This window comes from Homo sapiens, chromosome 22 (assembly GCF_000001405.40).
Source record: "Homo sapiens chromosome 22, GRCh38.p14 Primary Assembly".
In the NCBI taxonomy this organism is placed as follows: domain Eukaryota; kingdom Metazoa; phylum Chordata; class Mammalia; order Primates; family Hominidae; genus Homo; species Homo sapiens.
The window spans coordinates 44,787,713-44,813,010 of NC_000022.11; the positions used below are offsets into that span (position 1 = coordinate 44,787,713).

A 25,298-nucleotide genomic window follows, 5' to 3' on the forward strand; every position below is an offset into this window, starting at 1 on the left:
ATGTCCCCTGCACTGAGCTCCATAATCATTAGCTGTCATCTCTGAGGGGCCTGGAATCTTGTCAAGGTAATAATAAAAAGAGGCCAGTTCTCAAACAGTTAAAGACCCCAGAAACATGATAAACACTTTAGTGCACACTGTGTACAGGAGGGACAGCAAGAGGGCAGGACTTGACAGGCACTCAGTCATTTGAAGCCCCAAATGTCCTTTTTTTTTTTTTTTTTTTTTCCCCCCAAATGTCCTTTTAAGAAAACTTCTAGGATTTAGGTAGAGGGAACACTGGACCGAGTGTGAGGAATGCAGATCCCCTGGCCAGGTGCCAACAGAAGGAAGGCAGGAAATATATATTTTTAATTTATATAGTGTTTAAAATTTTTATTATATGTTATTATTATTATTATTATTATTTTATTATTGTTATTTTGAGATGGAGTTTCATTTTGTCACCCAGACTGGAGTGCAATGGCACGGTCTTGGCTTACTCTAAACTCCACCTCCCGTGTTCAAGTGATTCTCCTGTCTCAGCCTCCCAAGTAGCTGGGATTACAGGCGCCTGCCACCACACCCAGCTAATTTTTGTGTTTTTAGTAGAGACAGGGTTTTGCCATGTTGGTCAGGCTGGTCTCGAACTCCTGACCTCAGGTGATCAACCTGCCTTGGCCTCCCAAAGTGCTGGGATTATAGGCATGAGCCACCATCCCTGGACTTTAATTTTATTTTTTGAGACAGGGTGTCACTCTGTTGCGGAGTGCAGTGGTGCCATCTTGGCTCACTGCAGCCTCACCCTCCCAAGTGCAAGTCCTCCTGAGAAGCTGGGATTATAGGCATATACCACCATGCCTGGCTAATTTTTATATCTTTAGTAGAGACAGGGTTTTGTCACGTTGGCCAGGCTGGTCTCGAACTCCTGACCTCAAGTGATCCGCCTACCTCTGCCTCCCAAAGTGCTGGAGTTTATAGGTGTGAGCCACCATGCTGGCCGGTTATTATTATTTTAAATGAATAAATATTTTTGAATTTTCTGTTTTAGTTTTCTAATATGGTAAATATATATGGATACAATCCGCTTAAAAAGATAAAGCTCTTCGAAGTCCTTAATAATAACCTTAGGAATACTGATGGGTTCTGAGACCTGAAAGTTTGAGAACTAGTACACTTGCCTATGATCTGTCTAGGTAAATAAATGTTTCCTGTGCACGTGGAAAGAATGTATGTTATGCGTTGTTGGGCAGAATGCTCTATGTATTTCAGTTAGGTTAAGTTGATTAATGATTAAGTTGTGTTCACATCTCCTACATCCTTATGCATATTCTGTCTGCTCTCAGTTACTAATGGAAGAGTGTTCACAGCTCCCAAAATTGGACTTTGTAAATTTCTTCCTTTAGTTCAGTCCGTTTTTGCTTCCTGTGTTTTGATGCTTTTTGGTTTTTTTGTTTGTTTGTTTTTTGTTTTTTTGGAATGAAGTCTTGCTCTGTTGCCCAGGCTGGAGTACAGTGGTGCGATCTCAGCTCACTGCAACCTCCAGCTCCCTGGTTTCAAGTGATTCTCCTGTCTCAGCCTCCCAAGTAGCTGGGATTACAGGCACCCGCCACCAAGCCCCGATAATTTTTGTATCTTTAGCAGAGACAGGGTTTTGCCATGTTGGCCAGGCTGGTCTCAAACTCCTGACCTCAGGTGATCCGCCCGCCTCAGCCTCCCAAAGTGCTGGGATTACAGGTGTGAGCCACTGCGCCCGGCCGATGCTTTGTTACTAGGAGCATATATACTTAGGATTGTTATGACTTCTTGATGTATTGACCTTTTTTTGAGACAAGGTCTCACTTTGTTGCCCAGGCTGTGCAGTGGCGCTGTCTCGGCTCACTACAGCCTCTACCTCCCTCGGCTCAGGCAGTCCTCCCACCTCAGCTTCTTATGTAGCTGGGACTACAGGCACAGGCCACCACGCCTGGCTAATTTTCTTGGTTTTTTTGTAGAGACAGGGTTTTGTCATGTTACCCAGGCTGGTCTTGAACTCCTGGGCTGAAGCAATCGGCCTGTCTTGGCCTCCCAAAGTGCTGGGATTATAGGTGTATTTTTTACCATTATTAAGTGACCTTCTTTATGTCTGGTGATACTGCTTGTCTTAAAGTCCGATTTTTCTGATACTAATATAGCCAAGACAGCTCTACCAGCTTTCTCATCACTGGTGTTGGTAAGGTGTGCCTCTTCCATCCTTTTTCCTTTCAGTCTGTCTCAGTCTGCACAGAAAGTGCATCTGTTACAAACAGCTTATCACTAAACGTTTTTTAAAAACTTTAATTGCAAGATGGACATATAGCAGAAATCACATTGTCAAAGCCTGGGAGGGTCAGCAGAGGAATTTGCATTTGGTCATGGTGGCTCTGGGGCACATTAAACATAGGACGGATGTAATCAGATGTATAATTTAGAAGTCTCTGGGGTTGGAGAATGATGACGGCAGCTACTGGAGTCAGGGAGGCCAGTAAGAGCAAGAATAGAGGTTTGAGTTAATGTCGTGGCAGTGGGATGCAGAGGAGGGCATGGATTTGAGAGATGTTTTTAAAAACGTCCAGCTGGTGGCCTAGCTGAAACCAAAAACTGGGGGTGAGGGTTGTCACATGGGATGAGGTTTCCAGGGGTGTAAAGGAAGAGTTTAAATTAAGAGAAGAGGTGGCCAGGCCACCTACAGGCCATGGTTCATGCCTGTAATCCCAGTACTTTAGAAGCCCAAGGAAGGCGGGTCACCTGAGGTCAGAAGTTCGAGACCAGCCTGCCCAACATGGTGAAACCCCGTCTCTACTAAAAATACAAAAATTAGCCAGGTGTGGTGGCACATATCTGTAATCCCAGCTACTTGGGAGGCTGAAACAGGAGAATCGCTTGAACCCGGGAGACCGAGGTTGCAGTGAGCCAAGATCACACCATTGCACTCCAGCCTGGACAACAAGAGCAAAACTCTGTCTCAAAAAAAAAAAAAAAAAAAAAAAGAGAAGGGGGAGCCCTGGGAAAGAACCTGGCCGTTTTTTTTTTTTTTTTTGGAGACGGAGTCTTGCACTCTCTCCCAGGCTGGAGTGCAGTGGCATGATCTTGGCTCACTGCAATGTCCGCCTCCCGGGTTCAAGGGATTCTCTTGCCTCAGCCTCCCGAGTAGCTGGGACTACAGGCACGTGCCGCCATGCCCAACTAATTTTTTGTATTTTAGTAGAGACAGGGTTTCACCGTGTTGCCCAGGCTGGTCTCAAACTCCTGAGCTCAGGCAATCCACCCTCATTGGCCTCCCAAAGTGCCAGGATTACAGGCGTGAGCCACCGCACCTGGAACTTGGCCTTCTTCTTCAATGTGCCTCCCTCCACTTGCTCTCCCGGTGGGTACCCCGGGGACTGGGAACCTTCCAGATTATTCATCCTTCTCCCAGCAAAAAGAAAACTAATTGGAACAAGAGGACCTGCCAGGGTTTAGCCTGGGAGGGATGTTGTTGTGGGATTTCAGTGCAGTCTACTGTGGTCCTTCCGTGTCATTAGGGGGCTGTGCGCTGTGCTGGGGTGTGTGCTCCTCCCGGGGAGTATATGAAGTTGTCAGAGTCGACACTTGAGCCAGGGCCTCGATGCTGCAGACTTCCTTGGGAGATGATGGCACAGGAAGCAGTCTTCAGCTTTTAGATAGTTCTCTTGTGTTGGAGCAGAGTTTTCACTTATTTAAAACCCAGCTTCGCCGGGCGCAGTGGCTCGTGCCTGTAATCCCAGCACTTTGGGGGGATGAGTCAGGTGGATCACCTGAGATCAGGAGTTCGAGACCAGCCTGACCAATATGGTGAAACCCCGTATGTACTAAAAATACACAAATTAGCCGGGCGTGATGGTGGGCACCTGTAATCCCCGCTACTTGGGAGGCTGAGGCGGGAGAATGGCTTGAACCCAGGAGGCGGAGGTTGCAGTGAGCCGAGATTGCATCATTGCACTCCAGCCTGGGTAATAAGAGCAAAACTCCATCTCAAAAAACAAACAAACAAAAATACCCCCAGCTTCTTGAGAAACTTAACCATATCAAGAGACCATATGAGGGCCTCAGCCATCCTGAAAAGATGCCGGCCTTAACCAGCAGTCATCAGGAACAACAAGGATGGAGGTGCCTGGAGAAGAGCTTAGTGGAAGCCACTCTCCACTTGGGTGAAATAGAGTTTACAGTCAAAGCACCAAAGCAAGAAAAATCTAAACATTCCAATGCAGGTGCATTGGATACAGAGAAAATTATTACAGCAAAACTTCCAATTGCCAGCAGCTTTTTCTTCTTTTTCTTCTTTCTTTCTTTCTTTTTTTTTTAGATGGAGTCTTGCTCTGTTGCCCAGGCTGGAGTGCAGTGGTGCGATCTCAGCTCACTGCAACCTCCACCTCCCAGGTTCAAGCGATTCTCTGCCTCAGCCTCCCGAGTAGCTGAGATTACAGGCACCCACCACCACGCCTGGCTAATTTTTGTATTTTTAGTAGAGATGGGGTTTCATCATGTTGGTCAGGCTGGTCTTGAACTCCTGACCTCATGATCCACCTGCCTCGGCCTCCCAAAGTGCTGGGATTACAGGCGTGAGCCACTGCACCCGGCCTCCAGTTGCTTTTTCAGTTGGGACAACCAGCAGAGAACATCCCCAGATGGCCCCTCACTGAGGACTGTTCTTGGCAGAACAGAGGCCTCTCCCCTTCCTCCTCCTGGGCCTCACCTTGGCATCAGCTTCGTTCTCTCGTACCCTAAGTGCAGTTCATGCACCTGAGTTTTCTGTGGGCCCAGGGGGACAGTTCAGGACCAGGAACCCCCTGCCCTCCTGCTCCTCCAGGGCGTGGCATGGACCCCTCCAGGACTTCTTCGGCCAAGGGCTCTCCTGCGTCCTTCAGGTGTGACTAGATGTCACTCCCCACCAACGCATTTCTGAATTTTTCTGTCCCAGCTGCTGCTTCCCCCATGACCAACATCTGGAACCACAGCCAGAAACCAGACTCCTGTCAAAAGGAATTTTGAATGATCTCTCCCTACTTGAGTGACCATATGCTTGGCCAAATGGAAGCTTTGTAGAATTTTGACACTAACGACAGTGGTGGTGGTGGTGGTGGTTTTTTTTGTTTTTTTGGTTTTTTTTTTTTGAGATGAAGTCTTACTCTGTTGCTCAGGCTGGAGTGCAGTGGCGCAATCTCGGCTCACTGCAACTTCTGCCTCCCAGGTTCAAGTGATTCTCCTGCCTCAGCCTCCTGAGTAGCTGGGATTATAGGTGCCTGCCACCATGCCCAGCTAATTTTTGTATTTTTAGTAAAGATGAGGTTTCATCATGTTGGCCAGGTTAGTCTCGAAATCCTGACCTCGGGATCCTCCCACCTTAGCCTCCCAAAGTCCTGAGATTATAGGCATGAGCCACCGCACCTGGCCAGAATAGTGTTTTGTAAATAAAGTTGACTTCAGTATCTTAAGAAGTGGTCATTGTGGGGCTGAGCATGTGTTTCAGAGTCTGAAGCTCTGGTCTGGGGCTGAGGCTGGGAGCTCAGAGTGGAGATCCATCAGGTGGTGTGAAGCAGGGTGGGGGATGGAAGGTTCCAGGTCTGAGGACCAGAAGAGGTAGAGGTAGACGCTCAGAGACGTGGAGGGTGGTGAGTGGCAGGGGAGAGGGAGAGAAGTCCACGCCGGACCTGGCCCTGCAGGACAACACACATCCACCGCCCTGGGTTCGGATCTTTTGGCACACAACCCATTCCGTTGCCGGCTGGGCTTTCCTGCAGCACGCAGGCCTAAAGGGGTCTTCAGCTCTCCTTCCACTTTTGCAAAAATGGTTGGCAACTTCAAACAAAAACCATAGCAAACTTGCGACTCCCTCCCGATAGATTGCTACTGCCTTTATGATGCGTTTTAATCGCCGTCCGCTGGGAGAGAATGATGACTCGCCCCACGCACCCTGTGGGTAATGGCTGTGGGAATCGTTTCTTTATTCATAAACCAGGCTTCTCCTATTGCAGAGACAGTGAGTGATGTGGTGTTGTAAACAGCGAGGGGAGAAACAGGGGTCATGAATTCATCTGATGCCTTGCAGAATTTGCATTTTATTGATAGTTTTCATTTCCTTCCATATTATATCATATTGAAGCCTGGTTTTGATGTGCTGGCCTGTGTTCCCAGAGAACAGCGAAGGGTATTTACTCATATTGACTGATGGCATCAACACAGATGCGGCATTGATGGCTTAATAAGTGGGAAGGTTGAAGGTTCCGGGGATTCCTCTCAGCTGCTGGGGAGACCGAGGGAGCGAGGGAGGCCGGCCTCAGTGCGGGGCATGCGCAGGGCAGAGGAAGGCGCGGAGGCTTGGCTGGGAGTCAGCCTCGGCCAGCTGCTCGCGTCAACCCACCCTGACGCTCACTTGGCCTCTGGGCCTCAGTTTTCTCACCTGTAAATGAGAAGATGGGACACAGCACTTCTGGAAGCACCCAGCATCCTACCTGGTCCGTGGTAACAGCTCACAGTGCACTTACTGTGTTCTGGGGCCGTGCCAAGACTTCATGCAGGTTATTGATTTAACCCTTCCTGTAACCCTCCAAGTCAGTTTCATTATTATTTCCGTATTGCAGATGACCAAAGAGGCGCCAGCCCAGCTCAGCCAGGGATTGGGCAGAGGAAGAGATTCTACCCTGGCAGGCTGGGTACAGCCCTTTGCTTTTTTTCTCTCTCTCTCTTTTAAACTTTTTATTGGCCAGGCACGGTGGCTCACACCTGTAATCCCAGCACTTTGGGAGGCCGAGGCAGGCAGATCATGAAGTCAGGAGTTCGAGACCAGCCTGGCCAACATGGCGAAACCTCATCTCTACTAAAAATACAAAAAATTAGCCAGGCATGGTGGTGCGCACCTGTAGTCCCAGCTACCGTGGAGGCTGAGGCAGAAGAATTGCTTGAACCCAGGAGATGGAGGTTGCTGTGAGCCGAGATTGGGCCACTGCACTCCAGCCTGGGTGACAAAGCAAGACTCCGTCTCAGAAAAATAATAATAATAATAATATACTTTATTATGGAAATTTTCAAATGCTACAGATGTAGAAATAATAGAATAAGGAACCCAACTTCTCTGTCATGGCACTTGCTCTAAGCTTCATAAGCTTATGAGATCTGAATAATGCTGTGTGTTCACTTGGAAGGACATTTAGAAATCTATTGATATGAGCCAGGTGCTTTAGCTCGAGCCTGTAATCCCAGCTACTTGGGAGGCTGAGAAGGGAGGATCGTTTGAGCCCAGGAGGTCAAGGCTGCAGTAAGTTATGATCATGCCACTGCACTCCAGCCTGGGTGACACAGCCAAACTCTGTCTCAAAAAAAAAAAAAACAAAAAACGAAATCTGTTGGTATGAAAACAAAATACCAAATTAGTTGCCCTTCTGGTTTGGGAGGGAGTAAAAAGCCTTCAACAACAGCTCACTCTCAGAGTTCAGTATCATGCAAGACCATGGGCTCTGCAAACAGTAGGTGTTTAATAAGTGTTTATTGAATGAATGAGTCAGCACTGTATGCAAGCAGGATGCTTGTGAGGAACAGGGACGTGACCCAGTGTGGGCTCTGGGCTGGGGTGTCTTTGCATGTGCCGTACTCTGCCCTGGGACCCTCTTACCCTCATTGCAGATGGCAGGGTGGAGGGGGCCCATGGCGTGGTTGGGTACCTCGGGCCCTGTGGCTGGCTGAACTGAGTCCAAGTTTCTCAGGTGGGAATTCATCATTACCTGCTTATCTTGGCTTCACCCCACACCCCCCTCTACCCTCTGGGCCAGCTGACCAGAGCCACAGGTCCCCTCCCCACACTACCCCAGACAGCACAAAGCCCCCTCACCAGCAATAGGCACTGGTGCGCTGGCAGGCCACGAGCCCTCCCCTCCCCACCACCTGCAAACCAGACGAGGGCGGGAGGCAGAGGGGAGCCCCCTGGTTTGGGATGAGCCTGTAGGTGTGAGAAGGAGGGTGCTGGGACCTGCGGAAAAGCTGCCAAAGACCTGCGGTGGCCCATTGTGGCCCACAGGCTTCTCTTTCTTGGACACCAGGTCTGAGCCATGTTCTCCCACCAGGCCTCCCAGGACACCTCCCGGGACCCACCCAGTCTGGGGGGCTGCTCCTCCCACAAGCCTCCCAGCCCCTCCCCCACCCCAGGTGGCACCGCAGCCCCACTTGCCCACACATGCACAGGCAGCTCCTCCTCCTGTGTCCTCTCCCCTGTAAGTGGCCTTGCCACTGTCCCTGGGATCCCTACTCCTTTCCATGTCTGCAGCCTCCACTGGCCTTGCTGTAGGCTGTCCCTCCCCCTCCTCACCTGGCTTCCCAGGGTCAATAGAAAAAGTCAGACCTCAGTCCTTGCCCTGGCGACCTTGACCCTCCCTCCCATTTGGGTCCCAGTAGCCCAGGGAAGCACATCTGTGATCTCTGAACACCCCCTGAGGTTCCTCAGTGACCAGGGGTCCCAGAGCAGACGCTGTTCTGCTCCCGGGAATGGCCTGGAGCTGGGCAGCAAAGCCACTGCCCGCCGTCCCTGCTTCTGCTGCCTCTGCTCTTGCTGGAGACCGGCCTCTGCTGCATCTCTGTGCCTGGTGGGTGGAGGCCCCCACAGTTTGCTCCTCGGGGGCAGCTGATGGTGGGCTGGGGTGCAGGGTGGGCCGATGCTGTATCATTCGGAATGCGGCTGGCCCTCGTCCCCAGTTCCCTCGAGGTAGCTCTAAGTCTTTGGAATTTCCCAAGTGAAAGGAGTATTTTTGTTATTCATGGCGGGGGTGGGGGGCTCTAAGACCTCCAGGAAGGGAGGGGCTGGAGGCTGAGTTCACTCTGTGGCCTGTGATCCCATCAATCCCACTGAAGAAATGAAGCTTCAATGGGGGCCCTGGATTTCCAGAGGTTCCGTTGGCCCCTCGCTCCCCCAGTTGGTGATGCTATGATGATGGGCCCAAAGGGGAGGCCTCTTAACTCCACGGGAGAAGTCACAGACGCTCTGAGTCCAGGACGCTCCCAGACCTTACCCTGCGCGTCTCTTCCTATGGCTGGTCCTGAATTGCATTGTTCGTAATAAAGCTGTGATTGTTAAGTCTAGTGCCTTCCTGAGCTCTCCAAGTCATTCTAGCAAATTATCAAATGTGAAGGGATTGTAGGAACCCCTAGATTTGTAGGCAGCTTGTCAGATGCGTGGGTGGCCTTCTCATGGGGGTGCCCTCAACCTGTGAAGGGTGGTCTAAGCCCAGATACAAGCCGTTGCAGACATAGATGATGGGTGTGGCTGCCAGGGCTCCCACGGTTCTTGTGGGGCTGGGCATAGACCTCCCATTTCCCCCGGATCCCTTTCCCCTGGACCCTGGGGCCTGGCAGGGGCCGTGTCTCATCTTCTCTCCCCGGAGCTGAGTATACAGTGGGCCCCCAACAAATGCTGGTTGAGCTGATCTTCCATTGGTCCAATTATCTGGCACATCCCCCAAGACTTGCACTTGGTCTGATTCCAGACATGATAATGCTACTTGGCTTTTTTTTTTTTTTTTTTAATCCTGATGTTATCTTTCTCTTTCAACCCTAAAGGCATTGATTTGACTCCTTGTTTCTTCAGTAGCCTTATAAATCACCCATCACTTTAGGAGCAAAGTTGTTCTTTCCTCTGTTATTCCACAGGAGGAGGGCTCAGGCTCCGGGTCAGCCATGGAACCCTGGCCTCCGCGGTGGTAGACACTTTGTCTGGAAAACACTCTACTTTCAGGCATAGCCATTGAAGATTTTGTGCCTGAAAACTCCCACTTGGCAAGGGAAGCAAATAAAAGTGTGGCTTGCAGTGCAGCCCTTTAAAACAGAAGCTTGCTAAACAAATGGAAAGCGTGACCAGAATTCGTAAGGAACTGTGAAATGAAGAGGATGCTGTATTTGGAAGCTGTGAAATTGCTCTAGGATTCCAAACCTCGGAGTAGCTTCCAGGCTCCTGGGAAGAATCAGATGCGTGGCGTAAATAAAAGACAGCCCCCTGGCCAGGCAGCCAGGGCGGGGACATCAAAGAGTTCACACACTGTGCGCGCGTGTGTGTGCGCTCATGCCAGTGTGCATGTGAGTACGTGTGTGCACGCAAGTGTGTAATTTTTTTTTCAAGAGACAGGGTCTCACTCTGTTGCCCAGGCTGCAGTGTAGTGGCGTGATCCTAGCTCACTGCAGCCTCGAATTCCTGAGCTCAAGTGAGCCTTCCACCTCAGCCTCCCAAAGTGCTGGGATTACAGGCGTGAGCCACCGCACCTGGCCAATAAGATTTTTTTTTTTTTTTTTGAGACAAAGTCTCACTCTTGCCCAGGCTAGAGTGCATTGGTGTGATCTCAGCTCACTGCAACCTCCACCTCCCGAGTTCAAGAGATTCTCCTGCCTCAGCTTCCTGAGTAGCTGGGACTACAGGCGTGCACCACCACACCCAGCTAATTTTTTATTTTTAGTAGAGATGGGGTTTCACCATGTTAGCCAGGCTGGTCTCGAACTCCTCACCTAGGGTGATCCACCCACCTCGGCCTCCCAAAGTGCTGGAATTACATGAGTGAGCCACTGCACCTGGCCAAAAAAATTTTTTTAGAGACAAGGAAGGTCTCATTATGTTGCCCAGGCTGGTCTTGAACTCCTGGGCTCAAGTGATCCTCCCATCTTGGCCCCCAAAATGCTGCTGGGATTACAGGCGTGAGCCACTGTGCCTCCAGTCATTAGATTTGAAGCCTACGCTAAATCCAGGATAATCTTATCTTGATCCTTAGCTAATTAGATCTGCAGTGACCCTGTTTCCAGTGTCACATTCTGAGGGTCCAGGGGGACTTGCGTTTTTTTTTTTTTTTGGGTAGGGCTGGGGTACTCTTCCCCCACTACACAGGGTTAGAGGTGGACTGAGCGGCCCCACAGCCCCTTCCCTGAGGTCCACACCTAATCTGCACCCTCAAGATCAGCGCTGCCCAGTGGAACGTTCTCTGTGCTGGACACGCTCCATCCCTGCCTTGTCCAGGGCAGCCCCCACCGTGCGTGACTGCTGGACACCTGAAATGTGGCGAGTGCCACTGAGGAGCTGGACTTTTTTTTTTGAGAGGGAGTCTTGCTCCTTCACCAGGCTGGAGTGCAGTGGTGCAATCTCTGCTCACTGCAACCTCCGCTTCCCGGGTTCAAGCAATTTCCTGCCTCAGCCTCCCGAGTAGCTGGGATTACAGGCATGTGCAACGAGGAGCTGGACTTTTAAAAATGTGAATGCTTTCGTCCTGGAAGGTGCAGGTGTGGGTCTTCCCACTCCTGTGTGAGGAAAGGAAGAGGGAGCAGAAAGTGCTGGGAGGAGGGGCTGCACCCTGCTCCAGGCTTCCCATCCCCAGCCCCCACCTGGGGGGCCCCCAAGGTCTCCTGGGAGATGAGCACCCTCACAGAAGCCAGGGCCTGGGCCCCTTTGTACAGCCCCCCGCCCCTGTGCTGGGCCTGGAACCTTGGCCAAGGAACCTTTTACTGCATTGAGCAGAGCCCTTTGAAGGGATGAGCCCAGGGGCCTTCAAAGCCACCAAGGCTGCGTGTGGCCTCTCCCTGTACATTACCCCTCCTGGGCCTGTACCACTGGGGTTGGAGCCCCTGCCTCTGTGCTCACAGCCAGAGGAGCTGCTCCCATATGCAACGGCATGTCCACAGACCGGCCAGAGGGCATTGCGGATGCGGGGGGCAACAGCTTTTCTGCAGAGGTGGGGTTTAGTGGGAAGGGGTGTAGAGTCAGCAAGGAGGCGGGAGAGCATTCCAGGTGGAAGCTCAGGCAGGAGGATGCCCTTGAAGAACTGAAGGAAGGCTGCTGGGCCAGGTCCTCGGGGGCAGAGGTAGGGGCCTCGTGGACCAGCAGTGGAGGGATCTCCGTGTTCCCCACTCCTGACGACAGCCTGGTGTGGGTTTGGCTCCCTCCCCACTGCTGCCTGTACCCCTTTGTGCCCTGTTTTCACCCTTGGCACATGTGCCTCAGGCTGTTCTTACCTGTGTCCTTGTGTGTTTAATTGTAATGAAGAAGCTGTGGGTTCTGGGAAGCGGGGCGGCCCATCTGTTCTCCGTGTCCCTGAGCCGTGGCCGTGGAGTGAGAAAGTGCTGAGAATCCAGGGGGTGGGGGGTGGGTGGTGACATCAGACTGCACTTGAGTCACTGTCAGGGCCTTCCCCAGGGTGTCCTGCATGCAGGGGGTCCTCTGTCTCAGGGCCCTGGGCAGAGAGAGGAGGAAAGTCTGAACCATGAGGTCTCCAACCTCTTCTGGCCACTTGTGGGGTGGGGCAAGGTGGGGTTGGGGCTGGGAGAGGAGAGGCAGCTGTGTCTGCAGGCACGGAGGATGGTCTGCAGGCATGGAGGATGGTCTGCAGGGCCCTCTCCTTCAGGAGTCTGTTCTGTCTTTTTTTTTTTTTTTTTTTTTGAGACAAATTCTTGCTCTGTTGTCCATGCTGGAGTGCAATGATGCAATCTTGGCTCGCTGCAACCTCTGCCTTCCGGGTTCAAGCCATTCTCCTGCCTCAGCCTCCCAGGTAGCTAGGACTGTAGACATGTGCCACCACGCCTGGCTAATTTTTTTGTATTTTTAGTAGAGATGGGGTTTCACCATGCTGGCCAGGCTGGTCTCGAACTCCTGACCTCAAGTGATCTGCCCGCCTCGGCCTCCCAAAGTACTGGGATTACAGACATGAGCCACTGCACCCGGCCTGATCTGTCTTTTTATCTCACTAAGCGCCTGGCCCGGAGCCTGGATTCTGAGGACAGAGATAAGCAGACCCAGTCCCAGCTCTCAAGGGGTACCCCTCCCCGCAGCTGTCCATATGTGGGGGGCACCCCTCCCCGCAGCTGTCCATGTGTGGGGGGCGCCCCTCCCCGCAGCTGTCCATGTGTGGGGGGCGCCCCTCCCCGCAGCTGTCCATGTGTGGGGGGCGCCCCTCCCCGCAGCTGTCCATGTGTGGGGGGCGCCCCTCCCCGCAGCTGTCCATGTGTGGGGGGCGCCCCTCCCCGCAGCTGTCCGTGTGAGGGGGTGCCTCTCCCCGCAGCTGTCCGTGTGTGGGGGCCGCCTCTCCCCGCAGCTGTCCGTGTGTGGGGGCCGCCTCTCCCCGCAGCTGTCCGTGTGTGGGGGCCGCCTCTCCCCGCAGCTGTCCGTGTGTGGGGGGCGCCTCTCCCCGCAGCTGTCCGTGTGTGGGGGCCGCCTCTCCCCGCAGCTGTCCGTGTGTGGGGGCCGCCTCTCCCCGCAGCTGTCCGTGTGTGGGGGCCGCCTCTCCCCGCAGCTGTCCGTGTGTGGGGGCCGCCTCTCCCCGCAGCTGTCCGTGTGTGGGGGCCGCCTCTCCCCGCAGCTGTGTGGGGGCACCTCTCCCCGCAGCTGTCCATGTGTGAGGGGCACCTCTCCCCGCAGCTGTCCATGTGTGGGGGCACCTCTCCCCGCAGCTGTCCATGTGTGGGGGCACCTCTCCCCGCAGCTGTCCATGTGTGGGGGGCGCCCCTCCCCGCAGCTGTCCATGTGTGGGGGCGCCTCTCCCCGCAGCTGTCCATGTGTGGGGGCGCCTCTCCCCGCAGCTGTCTATGTGTGAGGGGCGCCTCTCCCCGCAGCTGTCTTTGTGTGGGGGCACCTCTCCCCGCAGCTGTCTATGTGTGAGGGGCACCTCTCCCCGCAGCTGTCTATGTGTGGGGGCACCTCTCCCCGCAGCTGTCCATGTGTGGGGGGCGCCCCTCCCCACAGCTGTCCATGTGTGGGGGCACCTCTCCCCGCAGCTGTCCGTGTGTGGGGGCACCTCTCCCCGCAGCTGTCTATGTGTGGGGGCACCTCTCCCCGCAGCTGTCTATGTGTGAGGGGCACAGATGTGTCAAGAGACTGTTGTAGCACATGGTGACCCGGGCCATAATGGACGGCAGGGCTGAGCATCTGCATTCCTGAGAGGGCTCCTGTACCCCCGACATGAGGTCATGCCCAGGAGCCATTGTCCCCCAGGCCACCCTGGCCTCCACCATGGCCCAGAATCATGGGGTGGGGGGTTGGAGGAGGAGGTAGAGTGGCTACACCCTGCCTTTGAAGTCAGATGCGTCTCGATTTAAGTCCTTGGTGCCGCCTGCCAGCTGGCTCTGCACTGATGACTTAACCCTGCTGGGCCTCGGTTTTCTATCTGTAAAGTGGGGGGATTATTTCCAGCGTACGGCTGGTCATGAAGATGAACTTGGACCACGTGCATAAAGCCACAGGTGATGGATGCTCACTCAGCAGGTGTCGCCTCCGAGGAACGCTGCTGCCTGTGCCTCCCAGCTCGGGCTGGACTGGCCAAGGAGGCTGCTTTTTGCTAAGTGCCTGAGGATTTTCTAGGAGAAGGTGGCACAGAGGCTCACCTGTGTCTGCTCCTCCAGGGGATGACCGCTTTGGAAGACGTGTTGTCACGTTCAGCTGCTGCCGGATGCCACCCTCCCACGAGCTGGACCACCAGCGGCTGCTGGAGTAAGTGTTCTGCCCCCTCTCTTTCTGTCCCTGTCTCTCCATGTTGCTTGTCCCCATCCCTTCACCCCACCTCACTCTGAGTCATCTGCTGTGGTCTGGGGCCTCCTTTGTGACCTTGCTGGTGTGCAGAGCTCTTGCACTCATGAGCCTACCCGAGGGCCAACTGTGGACACCCCTGGTCCCTGGGCTTCTGTGCACCATTCATTAGCACAGTGGGAGCCAGGTTTTGTTTCCTTTTAGCCACCCGAGCTGTGGGTGCCTCCCTTTGGAGTTGGGGACAGTCCCCTGGTCCTAGGTGTAGGCGAACCTTGCAGATGACACGGCTGCCGAGCGCCAGGCCTCCCCCACGCACTGTCCCTTTGAAACCTCCCTGGGCCTCTCTCTGGGAACACCTTCAGAGCTGTGTGAGTTTCCTGTAGTGGCCATAACAAATGACCACATGCTTGGCAACTTAAAATGCTCTGAGTGGATCCTCCATGGTTCTGGAGGGCACCAGTCCCCAAGGTCAAGGCAGCGGCAGGGCTACACTCCCCCTGGAGGCTGCGGGGGAGCTTCTGGCCTCTTCCAGCTCCAGGGGGCCCCAGATGACTTGTGGCCACCTCATTCCTATCTCTGCCTCGGTCTTCACATGGCCTTTTTGCCTCTGTGTCTTCCCATCTCATAAGGACACCAGCCACGGGACTAGAGCCACTCTAACTCCATGGCACCTCATCTGAACTCATTGCACCAGCAAAGACCCTATTTCCGAATAAGGTCACACTCTGAGGTTTTGGGTGGAATTTTGAGGGGTGGCATTCAAACCCAGGACAGAAGACAAGGGCCTGCTGCTGCTGCTGCTGCTGCTGCCGCCACCACTGGCTCAGCAGGCATCTATTGAGCGCCTACTGTATGTGAGACTTTGGATAGATAGTCACTGTATCAGGGCCCACCTGTGAACTGAGGAAATCACCCCTGTGGTTTGGGGTGGGAGAACTAAGGCCAGGAAATGACTCTGAGACAGAAGGTGGCAGGACGTGGAAGGGGCCGAGTGAGGGGGTGCCTGGGCCCCATGTCCCTTGTACACTCCCAGTGCCACCCAGGTGCGCATGGGCTCCACAGCTGGTACAGGGTGGGGGGCCGTAGAAAATCAAGGTTGTTGTTAGTTTGCCATACCAACAAGCATCAGGAGCATTCAGAAGGGGAGGTCTCAGGCAGTTTCCCAAACTAACTTGGGCAAGGAACCTTTTACTGCATTGAACAGAACCCTTTGAAGGGACGGGCCCAGGGGCCCTCATAGCCACCAAAGCTGTGTGTGGCCTCTCCCTGTACATTACCCCTCCTGGGTCTACACCTTCTGTTCCCCCAGCCTTTGCATGCAGCACCCCCAAACACATCGTCCCTTGCATATGTCCCCTTGTGTGCTTACCTGCGTTCTGTGCCAGTCCCCTACTGTGGCTGTCCTCTCTCCACCCCCCACCACTATGCAGACACCACCTCCCATGCACACACCCCCTCCCATGCACACACCCCCTCCCGTGCACACACCCCCTCCCAGGAACACACCCCCCCATGCATGCACCTCCTCTCATGCACCCACCCTCTCCCATGCACACACCCCCTCCCATGCACACACCCCCTCCCAGGAACACACCCCCTCCTGTGCACACATACCTGCTCTCATACACACACACCTCTTGTGCACACGCTTCTCCATCACTAAGTTGACTAAGTCACATGCTCAGCACAGACTGGGTGTTCAGAGTGAAAGACTAACCTAAAGTAGATTGACTCATGGGTCCTTAGATGGCTGTCACATGACCCCCAGGCCACCAGACCCACCTGCAGGACTGAGCCTTCTCCAGCCCAAAGCAGCTTTGGGTCCACAGTCTTGAGCGTGGGCCCGGGCCTCACGCCCTCTTAGGTCTGCCTGCTTCCTTCCCTCCCTCCATCACCCTCCTCAAAGCCACATGGGCCTCGCACCCTGCACCCTCTGCATTGGCCGTTTCCCATTGCTCAGAAGGAACCACCTGTTCCTCACCTGTGTATGGCCTTGGGCGCCCTGTCATCCTCTTTCATCTGTCCCTTGCTGCTGGTGTCTGCTGTGCTGGCCACACTGCTTTCATAAGGCGGCCACCGAGCCTCCTTCCTGGTGAAACTCCCCGGCCCAGGAGAGCTGCTGCTGGGGGAGAGTTGGCAAAATAGCGAGAGCAGCACCTCTGCTGGAATCCCTGTCTGTGTGAGTGAGAGGCCCCCAGGCCCAGGGGAGAAGCTCAGTCTTAGTGAAGGGAAGTTAGGTTCTGAGGGCCTTGGAATTTGCTCCCCGACAATGAACTGATTGAGCTTCATTTCTGAGGCCAAGCCCTGGCCGATCTCTGGGTGTCCCTGGAAACATTTATGTGCCCTTGTGAGGACAGGGAGCACGGCACCTGGCCTGCTGCAGACTCCCTCACTGCTGGGGACAGCTCAGGACGTGACCCTGGCGGGGAGGCTGTGCCTGCCACCACTTCCAGATGCCAGCATCTAACTGCTAAAGCCAAGGGACTCAGGGAGTGGGCTCGACCTGGAACCCCCAACTCAAGATGAACAAAGGCATGATCGGACATAGAAGCACCCAGAAGACTTTGGGCTGGTTGCTTCATGAGAGTCCCCCCAATATATGCATTCTATCTGGTCTGTTAAAGAATCTTCTGACCACAGCTGAAACTGCAGTGGCAAAGGCAGAGACCTGGCGGGGAGCAGGTGCCGGGAGCGACTTCCACCAGTGCACCAGTGCTGCTGCTGCACGGCGAGACCTGCAGGATTCATGGGGCGAGCTTGGATCCTGGTGCTGATTACCCCAGACAGTGAGGCTGGCTTTCCCCAGGAGGTGCTCACCCCAGTGAGGAGCCGATGCCAGCCTGCAGCCCACTCTTGGTGTTTACCAGGCACACAGGGAGAGATGGATGCTAGATCCAGGAAGAGCTCGTCTCCTGGGGTCCTCTTGAGAGGACGCATTCCCTTGTCAGGTCATTTAGGCACGGAAAGACCTGTGACCTGTGGGTCAGCTCTCCCCGAGGAGGCTGCTGCTGGGCCAGGAATGAGCTCACGATTTGCTGTTCTTATAAAGACAAAAGTGCCTGCAAAGACAGAAAGCGAATTGGTGGTTGCCGGGTACCGGGAGTGTGATGGGGAGAATGACTGTTGAACAGGTCTCAGTTTTCTTTTGGGGTGATAACAGTGTTTCAGAGCTGTAGAGAGGGGGTAATTGCACAGCTTTGTGAATGTACTAGATGCCTGAATTGTTCACTTGAAAGTGGTTAATTTATGTTATGTGAATTTCAACTAAATTGGACAAAAAGCACCCCTGACAACAAATTGGTACCTTGTGCTCTTTTATGTGCTTATCCAAGATTCCTTTACTATTAGGTGGAAGTAGTAAGCATGGCTTCCATGAACAGTTGTATAGGTTGTTCACAGCACAAGGCTAACCAGATGAGAAGCTACCATCACCTGGTGCTTTTTTCACTCAGCGTGGGACAAGCATCTGCCCAGAGGAAAAGGCATCTTTTTCTAACTCATGCAAAGGTGCTCTGTGGGCTTCTCGGCCTTGATAAGAAGAGCCATCAGGCTTACTTCTCCGCAGCCTTTATGAAAAAAATTAACACCCCGTACATTATCCTCCCTATCCATTCCAACCGGATGGCTTTCTTGTGGCCAGATGCATGCTCCTATTTTTGAAGCGGGTGAAGAAACAAGTCTATGTCTTTGAAACCCAACTAGTAATTTAGTTAATGACTTCCTGTGCTGAGCACGCGGGCAGATGCATTGACACTCAGAGGATTTCAGTGTGCTGAACAGAAGGCACTGGGGAGAGCCCAGCGCTGGGGCCAAAGGAAGGGTGCCTGCTTTTACAAGGAGGCGCCCAGAGTGGGAAGAGGAGCTGTGCAAAGACATTGGCCTCAGTTTCCCTCTCTTGAAAAAGTCATTTGCGAAATACAAAAGTGGCTATCCTGAGAAGTGAGGAGGAGTGAAGAGTTCTCAGTGGTTCGTGGACTCTTCCACCCCTCTGTGTTCAGGTGGAAGTCTCGACCTGGGTTTTTCTGAGAAAGTGACTCAATAAAGGATGACCTTGGTGAAGTATGCCCCGGTGGCTTAGCCCACATGGTGTTCGAGACAGCACTCTGGAAAATGAGTTTTGAAGTTACTTCCACAACGGGTGAGCTGAAATCATGCATGGTGTGAGGTCAGATGTGCGTGATTTCTCTACATCAAAGCAGACAACGGGATGGGAGCAGGCGTGGATGGCAGCCCACAGTTCTCAGAGACGCTGAGTGTGTGGAAGCTGGAGCCAGGCCACTTGGTTCAAAGCCCAGCTCTGCCCCTTACTGATTCACCTCTGTGAGTCTCAGTTGACTTGTCTATAAAATGGAGATAATAGTACCTGGCTCCTAGGGTCATTGGGAGAATTAAACGTGTAGAAGGCCTGCAGTTCAGGTGGTATGGGCTTTTGTCAGAGGGCACTCTGACATCACTTAGAAATCAAACGCACAGGCCGGGCACGGTGGCTCATGCCTGTAATCCCAGCACTTTGGGAGGCCGAGGCGGGTGGATCACGAGGTCAGAAGATCAAGACCATCCTGGCTAACTCAGTGAAACCCCGCCTCTACTAAAAATAATAGTAATTAAAAAAAATTAGCCGGGCGTGGTGGCAGGCGCCTGTAGTCCCAGCTACTCAGGAGGCTGAGGCACGAGAACGGCGTGAATCCAGGAGGCGGAGCTTGCAGTGAGCCGAGATCACACCACTGCACTCCAGCCTGGGTGACAGACTCTGTCTCAAAAAAAAAAAAAAAAGAAATCAAACGCACACAGGAGAAGCTGGCATCCTTGGTCTCCAGGCTTCCGGGCAGTGCGGGACCAGCCGAGCCTCTGCAGGTGGGCACAGGCTGCTGCGGCTTTCTCCCGAGGCAGTTCTGGGAGCTTCTGTCTGCAGAGCACCCCACCCACAGCCTCAGAGAGTGGGGCCACGTGGGTGGGTTAATTACAAGATGTGCTCCAGGTGAGAACCTGGACAACCTGAGCTGAGGGATCATGGCCTGACCGGCTCAGTGTCAGGCCCTGCAGAGTGCTGGTGGAGGGTTAGGGGGTCCTTCTGGAGCCCTTCCTTCTGCAGATGGCAGGGCAAGCCCTTTCCCACAGGTGACATGAAGACAGTGCTTGCTAGGTGCAGCAGGGCAGGATGGAACGTGGTCCATGGGAAATGGGTAGAGCCTACACCATAGGGGGTGGCGGGCGACAGACGCAGAGCACAGTGTCAGGACTCTGGCTTTGTAATGAAAAGCAAAATGTTAGGAGCTCACCTGGAGGGAAGGAATTGCTTGCCTTAGAAATGCAGCAGGCAGCCGGGTGTCTGAGGTAGAAGGGCCTGTGGTGTTGGGGGTCAACGGCAAGGGCTGAGCAGTCAAGCATTCCTGGGTTCAAATCCCAGCTCATCCTCCTTGTGAGTTTCCCGGGGCTGCCGTAACCATGATCGCAAATGTGGTGGCGTAAAACCAGAAATGTATTCTCTCACAGTTCTGGATGCCAGAAGTTCAAAATTGAGGTGTGGCCAGGGCCGTGCTCCCTGGGAAGGGAGAAGCCCTTCCTTGCCTGTCCAGCCCATAAAGGCTGTCAGCAGTCCTGGGCCTTCCAGGGCTGGTGGCCACATCATGCTGTCGTCGACACTCTGCTTTGCCTCCGTCTTTACGTGACCTTCCGCCCTCTGACTTCTCATCTTCGTGTCTGCCTTAGAAGGATGCATGTGATTGCACTGAAGGTCCACCTGGGTAGTCCAGGATGAGCCCCTCCTCTCAAGGTCCTAAATTTAATTGCACCTACAAAGACCTTTTTCCCAGATAAGGTCACATTCTCAGGCTCCACGGATTTGATATGGATGTCTTTCCACGGGCAACAATCTGGCCTACCACATCCACTTACTAGCTGTGTGACTTTAGATAAGTCACTTAACGTCTCTGAGCCTCAGATGTCATCTGGGAAATGAGGACCGGGGCCCACGGTGCATGGAGTCTCCATGTGGCCCGGTGCTGGCACCTACTGGGTGACCATAGCTTCCATTATAGGGAAAGCACGTTTGGTTTCAATAATGAGTAGGTGATTTTCATAACTGAATCTTCTGTGTTGTGCCCAGGTATTTGAAGTACACACTGGACCAATACGTTGAGAACGATTATACCATCGTCTATTTCCACTACGGGCTGAACAGCCGGAACAAGCCTTCCCTGGGCTGGCTCCAGAGCGCATACAAGGAGTTCGATAGGAAGTACGTGCCCGCAAGCCTTCAGGGACGTGGGTGTGGGCTGCTTGTGGCAGGAGGAGGCATTGTGGCCACAAGGGGTCGCAGAGTGTGCAGTGGGGGAGGGGTCTGGTAGGGCGGAGGGTGGAGGGTGAGCAAATGTGGGGCAGTGGAGGTTCACCTCCCCTCTGGGCCAAGCTCTGGAATCCCGGGCAGGGGTTGGCACTCATTTTTTTTTTTCTTTCTTTCTTTTTTTTAAGAGACGGTCTCACCCAGCCACCATGGCTCACACCTGTAATCCCAGTACTTTGGGAGGCCAAGGTGGGTGGATCACCTGAGGTCAGGAGTTCGAGACCAGGCTGGCCAACATGGCGAAACCCTGTCTCTAGTAAAAATACAAAAAAAAAAAAACCAAAAACAAAAACAGAGACAGTCTCGCCCTGTTGCCCAGGCTGGAGTGCAGTGGTGCAATCATGGTTCACTGCAGCCTCGGCCTCCTGGGCTCAAGCAGTCCTCTTGCCTCAGCCTCCTGAGTAGCTGGGACTACAGGCGTTCACCACCATGCCTAGCTAATTTTTGTATTTTTTTTTGTAGAGACGGGGATCTCACTATGTGGCCCAGGCTGGTCTCGAACTCCAAGCTCAAGCGATCCTCCCACCTCAGCCTCCCAAAGTACTGGGATTACAGGCAGGAGCCACCATGCCAAGCCAACACTCTTGTTCTTAAAGGGCCAGACAGTCAGCATTTTAGCTTTGCAGGCCTGTTGCTCTATTGCAACAACTCTGCTGGACTGTGTTCCAGTAAAACATTATGGACGCTGAAATGTGAATTTCATGTCATTTTCACGTGTCATGAAATATTCTTCTGTTTTTTTTTTTCAACCACTTAAAAACATAAAAAGCCATTTTTAGCTTGCAGCCTGTACCAAAGCAGGAAGCAGGCTAGGTTCATCCTGCCTGCCCATTCTCCCACCCCTGGTCCAGTGAATTACTGGCAAAGAAACAACTGCATGACCGTTTCTTCACTAAAGCCTCTTCTTGCTTTCACAGCCCTTTACAGTCTGCAAGGGGCATTCTGATGCCTCTTGTTGGTGAGATGGCAGCCTCATTTTACAGATGAGGACATAGGCCCCAGGGAGCAAGTGACTTACCCGTGGTCACTCAGCTTGTGTGTGGTAGGGCAGGATCCCACCCCAGGCCCCCGCCTCCCTCTCCCACCCAACGCTACTCACCGCTTGGCCATGGCCTGGAGCCGGCAGACTTTTCCTGAGGGACGTCCGGCCTAATAATCAACTTGGCAATATATCTGGCTCGTAGACTGCGGCGATGGGCGTTGATGTGGATATCCTAGATTCCTCTGGGTTTTCCTTCTTCAAAGTCCTTTCAAACCTGTAACAGAAATCTGCTTCACAGATATCTGAGTCAGTGGGACAGTGGAAGGCAGTGCCTGAATGTCCCAGAAGTCCTCCCTCCAGTTGCCTTTTGGGTCCTGCTGTCATTATCAATAGGACCTTCGGAGGGACTTCTTGGTTCCCCATCCTATGTCTTAGGGAAAGAATTGTTGCTGTATTTTGCAGTCATTTACTGGGCACCTGTATAAGCTGGAGATGGCCTAGCCCCAGCGCATGTCCTCCTCCAGGAAGGCTTCCTGGGTTGTCCTGGGAGAATCAATAGCCCCTTCCCTGCAGCCTCACTGTGCCTAAGCAGACACCAATCCTAGCTAGCACTTAGGGGTTTGTGAACAGGTCTGCCTCCTGCACTAGGCTGTGATCCCGGACCTGTCTCTGCATCCCTTGCAGGTGGGAAAGGATCTGCATATGGCAGCCTTTTTTTTTTTTTTTTTTTTTTTGAGACAGAGTCTCATTCTATTGCCTGGGCTGGAGCACAGTGGCGAGATCTCGGCTCACCACAACCTCCACCTCCCAGGTTCAAGTGATTCTCCTGCCTCAGCCTCCTGAGTACCTGGGACTACAGGCGTGAGCCACCATGCCCGGCTAATTTTTGTATTTTTAGTAGAGACGGGGTTTCACTATGTTGGCCAGGCTGGTCTTGAACTCCTGACCTCGTGATCCGCCTGCCTTGGCCTCCCAAAGTGCCGGGATTACAGGCGTGAGCCACTGTGCCCAGCCGGCAGGCTTTTATTAAGCGTTAGATGGGAGGATAGAGGAGTGAAGTGGTACTGGCAGGAAGTACCAAGGTTCCAGCTGGCGTAATCAGGAAGGCTGCATGGAGGAAGCAGCCTTTGAGCTGCCTGTGGAGTGGTGGGCAGGGTGTTGTGAAGTGGCAATCACTGGATTTTGCTTCTGGTACGAGGTGTGGCCAGATGCAAGAAAGAGCAGGGTGGACTTTGGTGCAATTGGTGGGGGTCTGGTCTGTAGGGTTCCCGTGGGGAGCCGTGGAGGGAGGCAGCAAAGGAGGGAGGGGCACAGAGGATGCTGGACTGTGTTTAAGAGGCAGCAGGGAGCCATGGCAGGTGCTTGAGGAGAAGCGAGTGATGTGTTTAAAGCAGCCCTTTCAGGAGGCTCAGGCTCACAGCAGGATGTGCACAGTAGCCCTGTCTTGAGCTAAAGCAGATGAAGGTTTTGCCCTCTGCACTTCCCCACGTGAGAAACGAAGATGCACCCGCAGATTCCTTGAGGCAGCTCCCCCACTTCTCAGTTGCCAGAAATCAGCCCAGAGAAACAAACCCGTAATCAGCCCAGGGTGCTTTCCCTTCCCTTTCTCGAGGGGGCTGCTGGTTCGCACATAAGGAGTGGGTCACTCCCGCTTGGGAGAAAGCAGCAGAATTCCTTCACAGCCAGGTAAGATGTGCCAGTGGTCGATGGATGAAATCTAGCCGGGGAGTTGGAATCTGTGTTGCCAGCAGTGACCTGTGAGCAGTGACAAAGCCAAAGGTAACGGCACCAGCCCGGGGAAGGAGGCCGGCCTCGTGGCAACCTGGGGAGGCTGTCAGAGCTCTCACATTGAAGGGCGTTGATAAGTGGAGCCACGCAGGTGGAGAGACTTGAAGCAGTGACTTCCAATCGGCGGTCATTTAACCTTGGCCAGAGGGGACTAGGCAGGGAAGAGAGGAAGGTGGCAGCCGTGGCCTTCAAGGCATCAGATGGAAAGAGGCAGACTTGTTCTGTGTGACTCTCCCACTCCCCGGGAGGTTGGATAGGGGTAGGGGTTAGGGTTAGCGTTACAGATCTTGGCTCAGTAGAAGCAAAAAGGAGGGACACTCTAGGCATCAAACTACCCAAAAGTGTAATGTCTGCAGGGGTGCTGAGTTCCCCATCGCTAGAGGTATGCGAGTGGTGCTCCAAATAGAATTAGATGAGATCGCCTGTAATCCCAGCACTTTGGGAGTCTGAGGCGGGTGAGTCATTTGAGGTCAGGATTTCGAGACCAGTCTGGCCAACATGGTGAAACCCCATCTCTACTAAAAATACAAAAAATTAGCCAGGCGTGGTGGTGCACGCCTGTAATCTCTGCTACTCGGGAGGCTGAGATATAAGAATCCCTTGAACCTGGGAGGCAGAGGTTGCAGTGAGCTGAGATCGCGCCACCGCACTCCATCCTGGGCAACAGAGTGAAACTCTGTTTCAAAAAAAAAAAAAAAAGATTTATGCAGTGAGGGTTTTCAGTCGGCCATTGCCACACCCCATCAGGTTTCCTGCATTCTTTTCTGTTCTCTCTGCCTTTGGCTTCTCATCCTCCAGACCGTCCTGCCAGGTCATTCCTTTTAGGGGTGAACAAATTCGCACGCAAGTGTTCATGACCCCACTTCTGGGAGTGCTTGCCTCACCAAAGAGCTCCTGCCATGGGTGGCAACTAATGGAAGCCACTGGAAGCTCAGTCTCAGGGTGAACCTTGCAGCAGCTGCCCTCTGGGCTCCTGGAGACTCTGGAAGCCACTGCTACTGCCCCCCGCCCCGCCCCTCCTCTCAGAGCCTTTTTTTTTTTTTGCTTTCTGTTTTTTTTTTTGAGACGGAGTCTTGCTCTGTCACCAGGCTGGAGTGCAGTGGCGCGATCTTGGCTCACGGCAACCTCTGCCTCCTGGGTTCAAGTGATTCTCCTGCCTCAGCCTCCTGAGTGGCTGGGACTACAGGTGTGCACTACCACGCCCGGCTAATTTTTGTATTTTTAGTGGAGACGGGTTTTCACCATGTTGGCCAGGATGGTCTCCATCTCTTGACCTCGTGATCCGCCCGCCTCAGCCTCCCAAAGAGTTGGGATTACAGGTGTGAGCCACCGCGCCCTGCCTCAGAGCCTTTTTAAAATTAGTTAATTAACATTTCTTGGAGAGATGCTTTGAGATTATATAAATATCCTGCTCCTTGTCAAAATACTTTTCACTTTCATTGCTGCTGCTTGGCTTAGTTGTTCATATGATGGCAGCCAATGGTGGTCTGATGAGCACTCGGCATCTGACGAAGGGAAGAGCTTTTTCTTCTCCTCACTTATTTATCTCAGTGTGGACATGTGTAAAATGTCCTATTTTATTCATTGAGTTACAATCCATTACTATCATTTTAATGATCAAATTGTCCCAAATTTGCCCATGTGGGTGCCGTTTTAAGGACTCCCAGGTCCTTCTGACACTCCCCCTCACTCTTTGA

At 53.3% G+C, this 25,298-nt stretch overlaps 2 protein-coding genes across 4 annotated transcripts in view, besides 3 other annotated features; both read left to right on the plus strand.

The window, feature by feature from the left end:
• PRR5-ARHGAP8 (PRR5-ARHGAP8 readthrough) overlaps positions 1-25,298 on the plus strand; it is a 160,581-nt gene that overhangs the window by 85,509 nt on the left and 49,774 nt on the right. The window contains exons 6-7 of the mRNA NM_181334.6: positions 14,365-14,452; positions 20,595-20,726. Coding sequence (NP_851851.3) covers positions 14,365-14,452; positions 20,595-20,726 — 220 coding nt within the window. The remainder of the gene's footprint in view (positions 1-14,364; positions 14,453-20,594; positions 20,727-25,298) is intronic.
• Positions 1-25,298, plus strand: part of ARHGAP8 (Rho GTPase activating protein 8) — a 110,210-nt gene that overhangs the window by 35,138 nt on the left and 49,774 nt on the right. For 2 of the 3 annotated variants that reach the window (NM_181335.3, NM_001198726.2), the window contains exons 3-4: positions 14,365-14,452; positions 20,595-20,726. In NM_181335.3, coding sequence (NP_851852.2) covers positions 14,365-14,452; positions 20,595-20,726 — 220 coding nt within the window. Of the gene's footprint in view, positions 1-14,364; positions 14,453-20,594; positions 20,727-21,293; positions 21,387-25,298 lie in introns of all 3 variants that reach the window. The other variant, NM_001017526.2, reaches the window with a different exon arrangement.
• Positions 13,205-13,739: an enhancer, noted in NCBI's record as "H3K27ac-H3K4me1 hESC enhancer chr22:45196797-45197331 (GRCh37/hg19 assembly coordinates)". NCBI's record gives its function as "activates a minimal SCP1, AML or CMV promoter by ChIP-STARR-seq in naive H9 embryonic stem cells {active_cell/tissue: H9 hESC(naive)}" and the evidence as "EXISTENCE:reporter gene assay evidence [ECO:0000049][PMID:30033119]".
• Positions 18,781-19,336: an enhancer, noted in NCBI's record as "H3K4me1 hESC enhancer chr22:45202373-45202928 (GRCh37/hg19 assembly coordinates)". NCBI's record gives its function as "activates a minimal SCP1, AML or CMV promoter by ChIP-STARR-seq in naive H9 embryonic stem cells {active_cell/tissue: H9 hESC(naive)}" and the evidence as "EXISTENCE:reporter gene assay evidence [ECO:0000049][PMID:30033119]".
• Positions 19,337-19,892: an enhancer, noted in NCBI's record as "H3K4me1 hESC enhancer chr22:45202929-45203484 (GRCh37/hg19 assembly coordinates)". NCBI's record gives its function as "activates a minimal SCP1, AML or CMV promoter by ChIP-STARR-seq in primed H9 embryonic stem cells {active_cell/tissue: H9 hESC(primed)}" and the evidence as "EXISTENCE:reporter gene assay evidence [ECO:0000049][PMID:30033119]".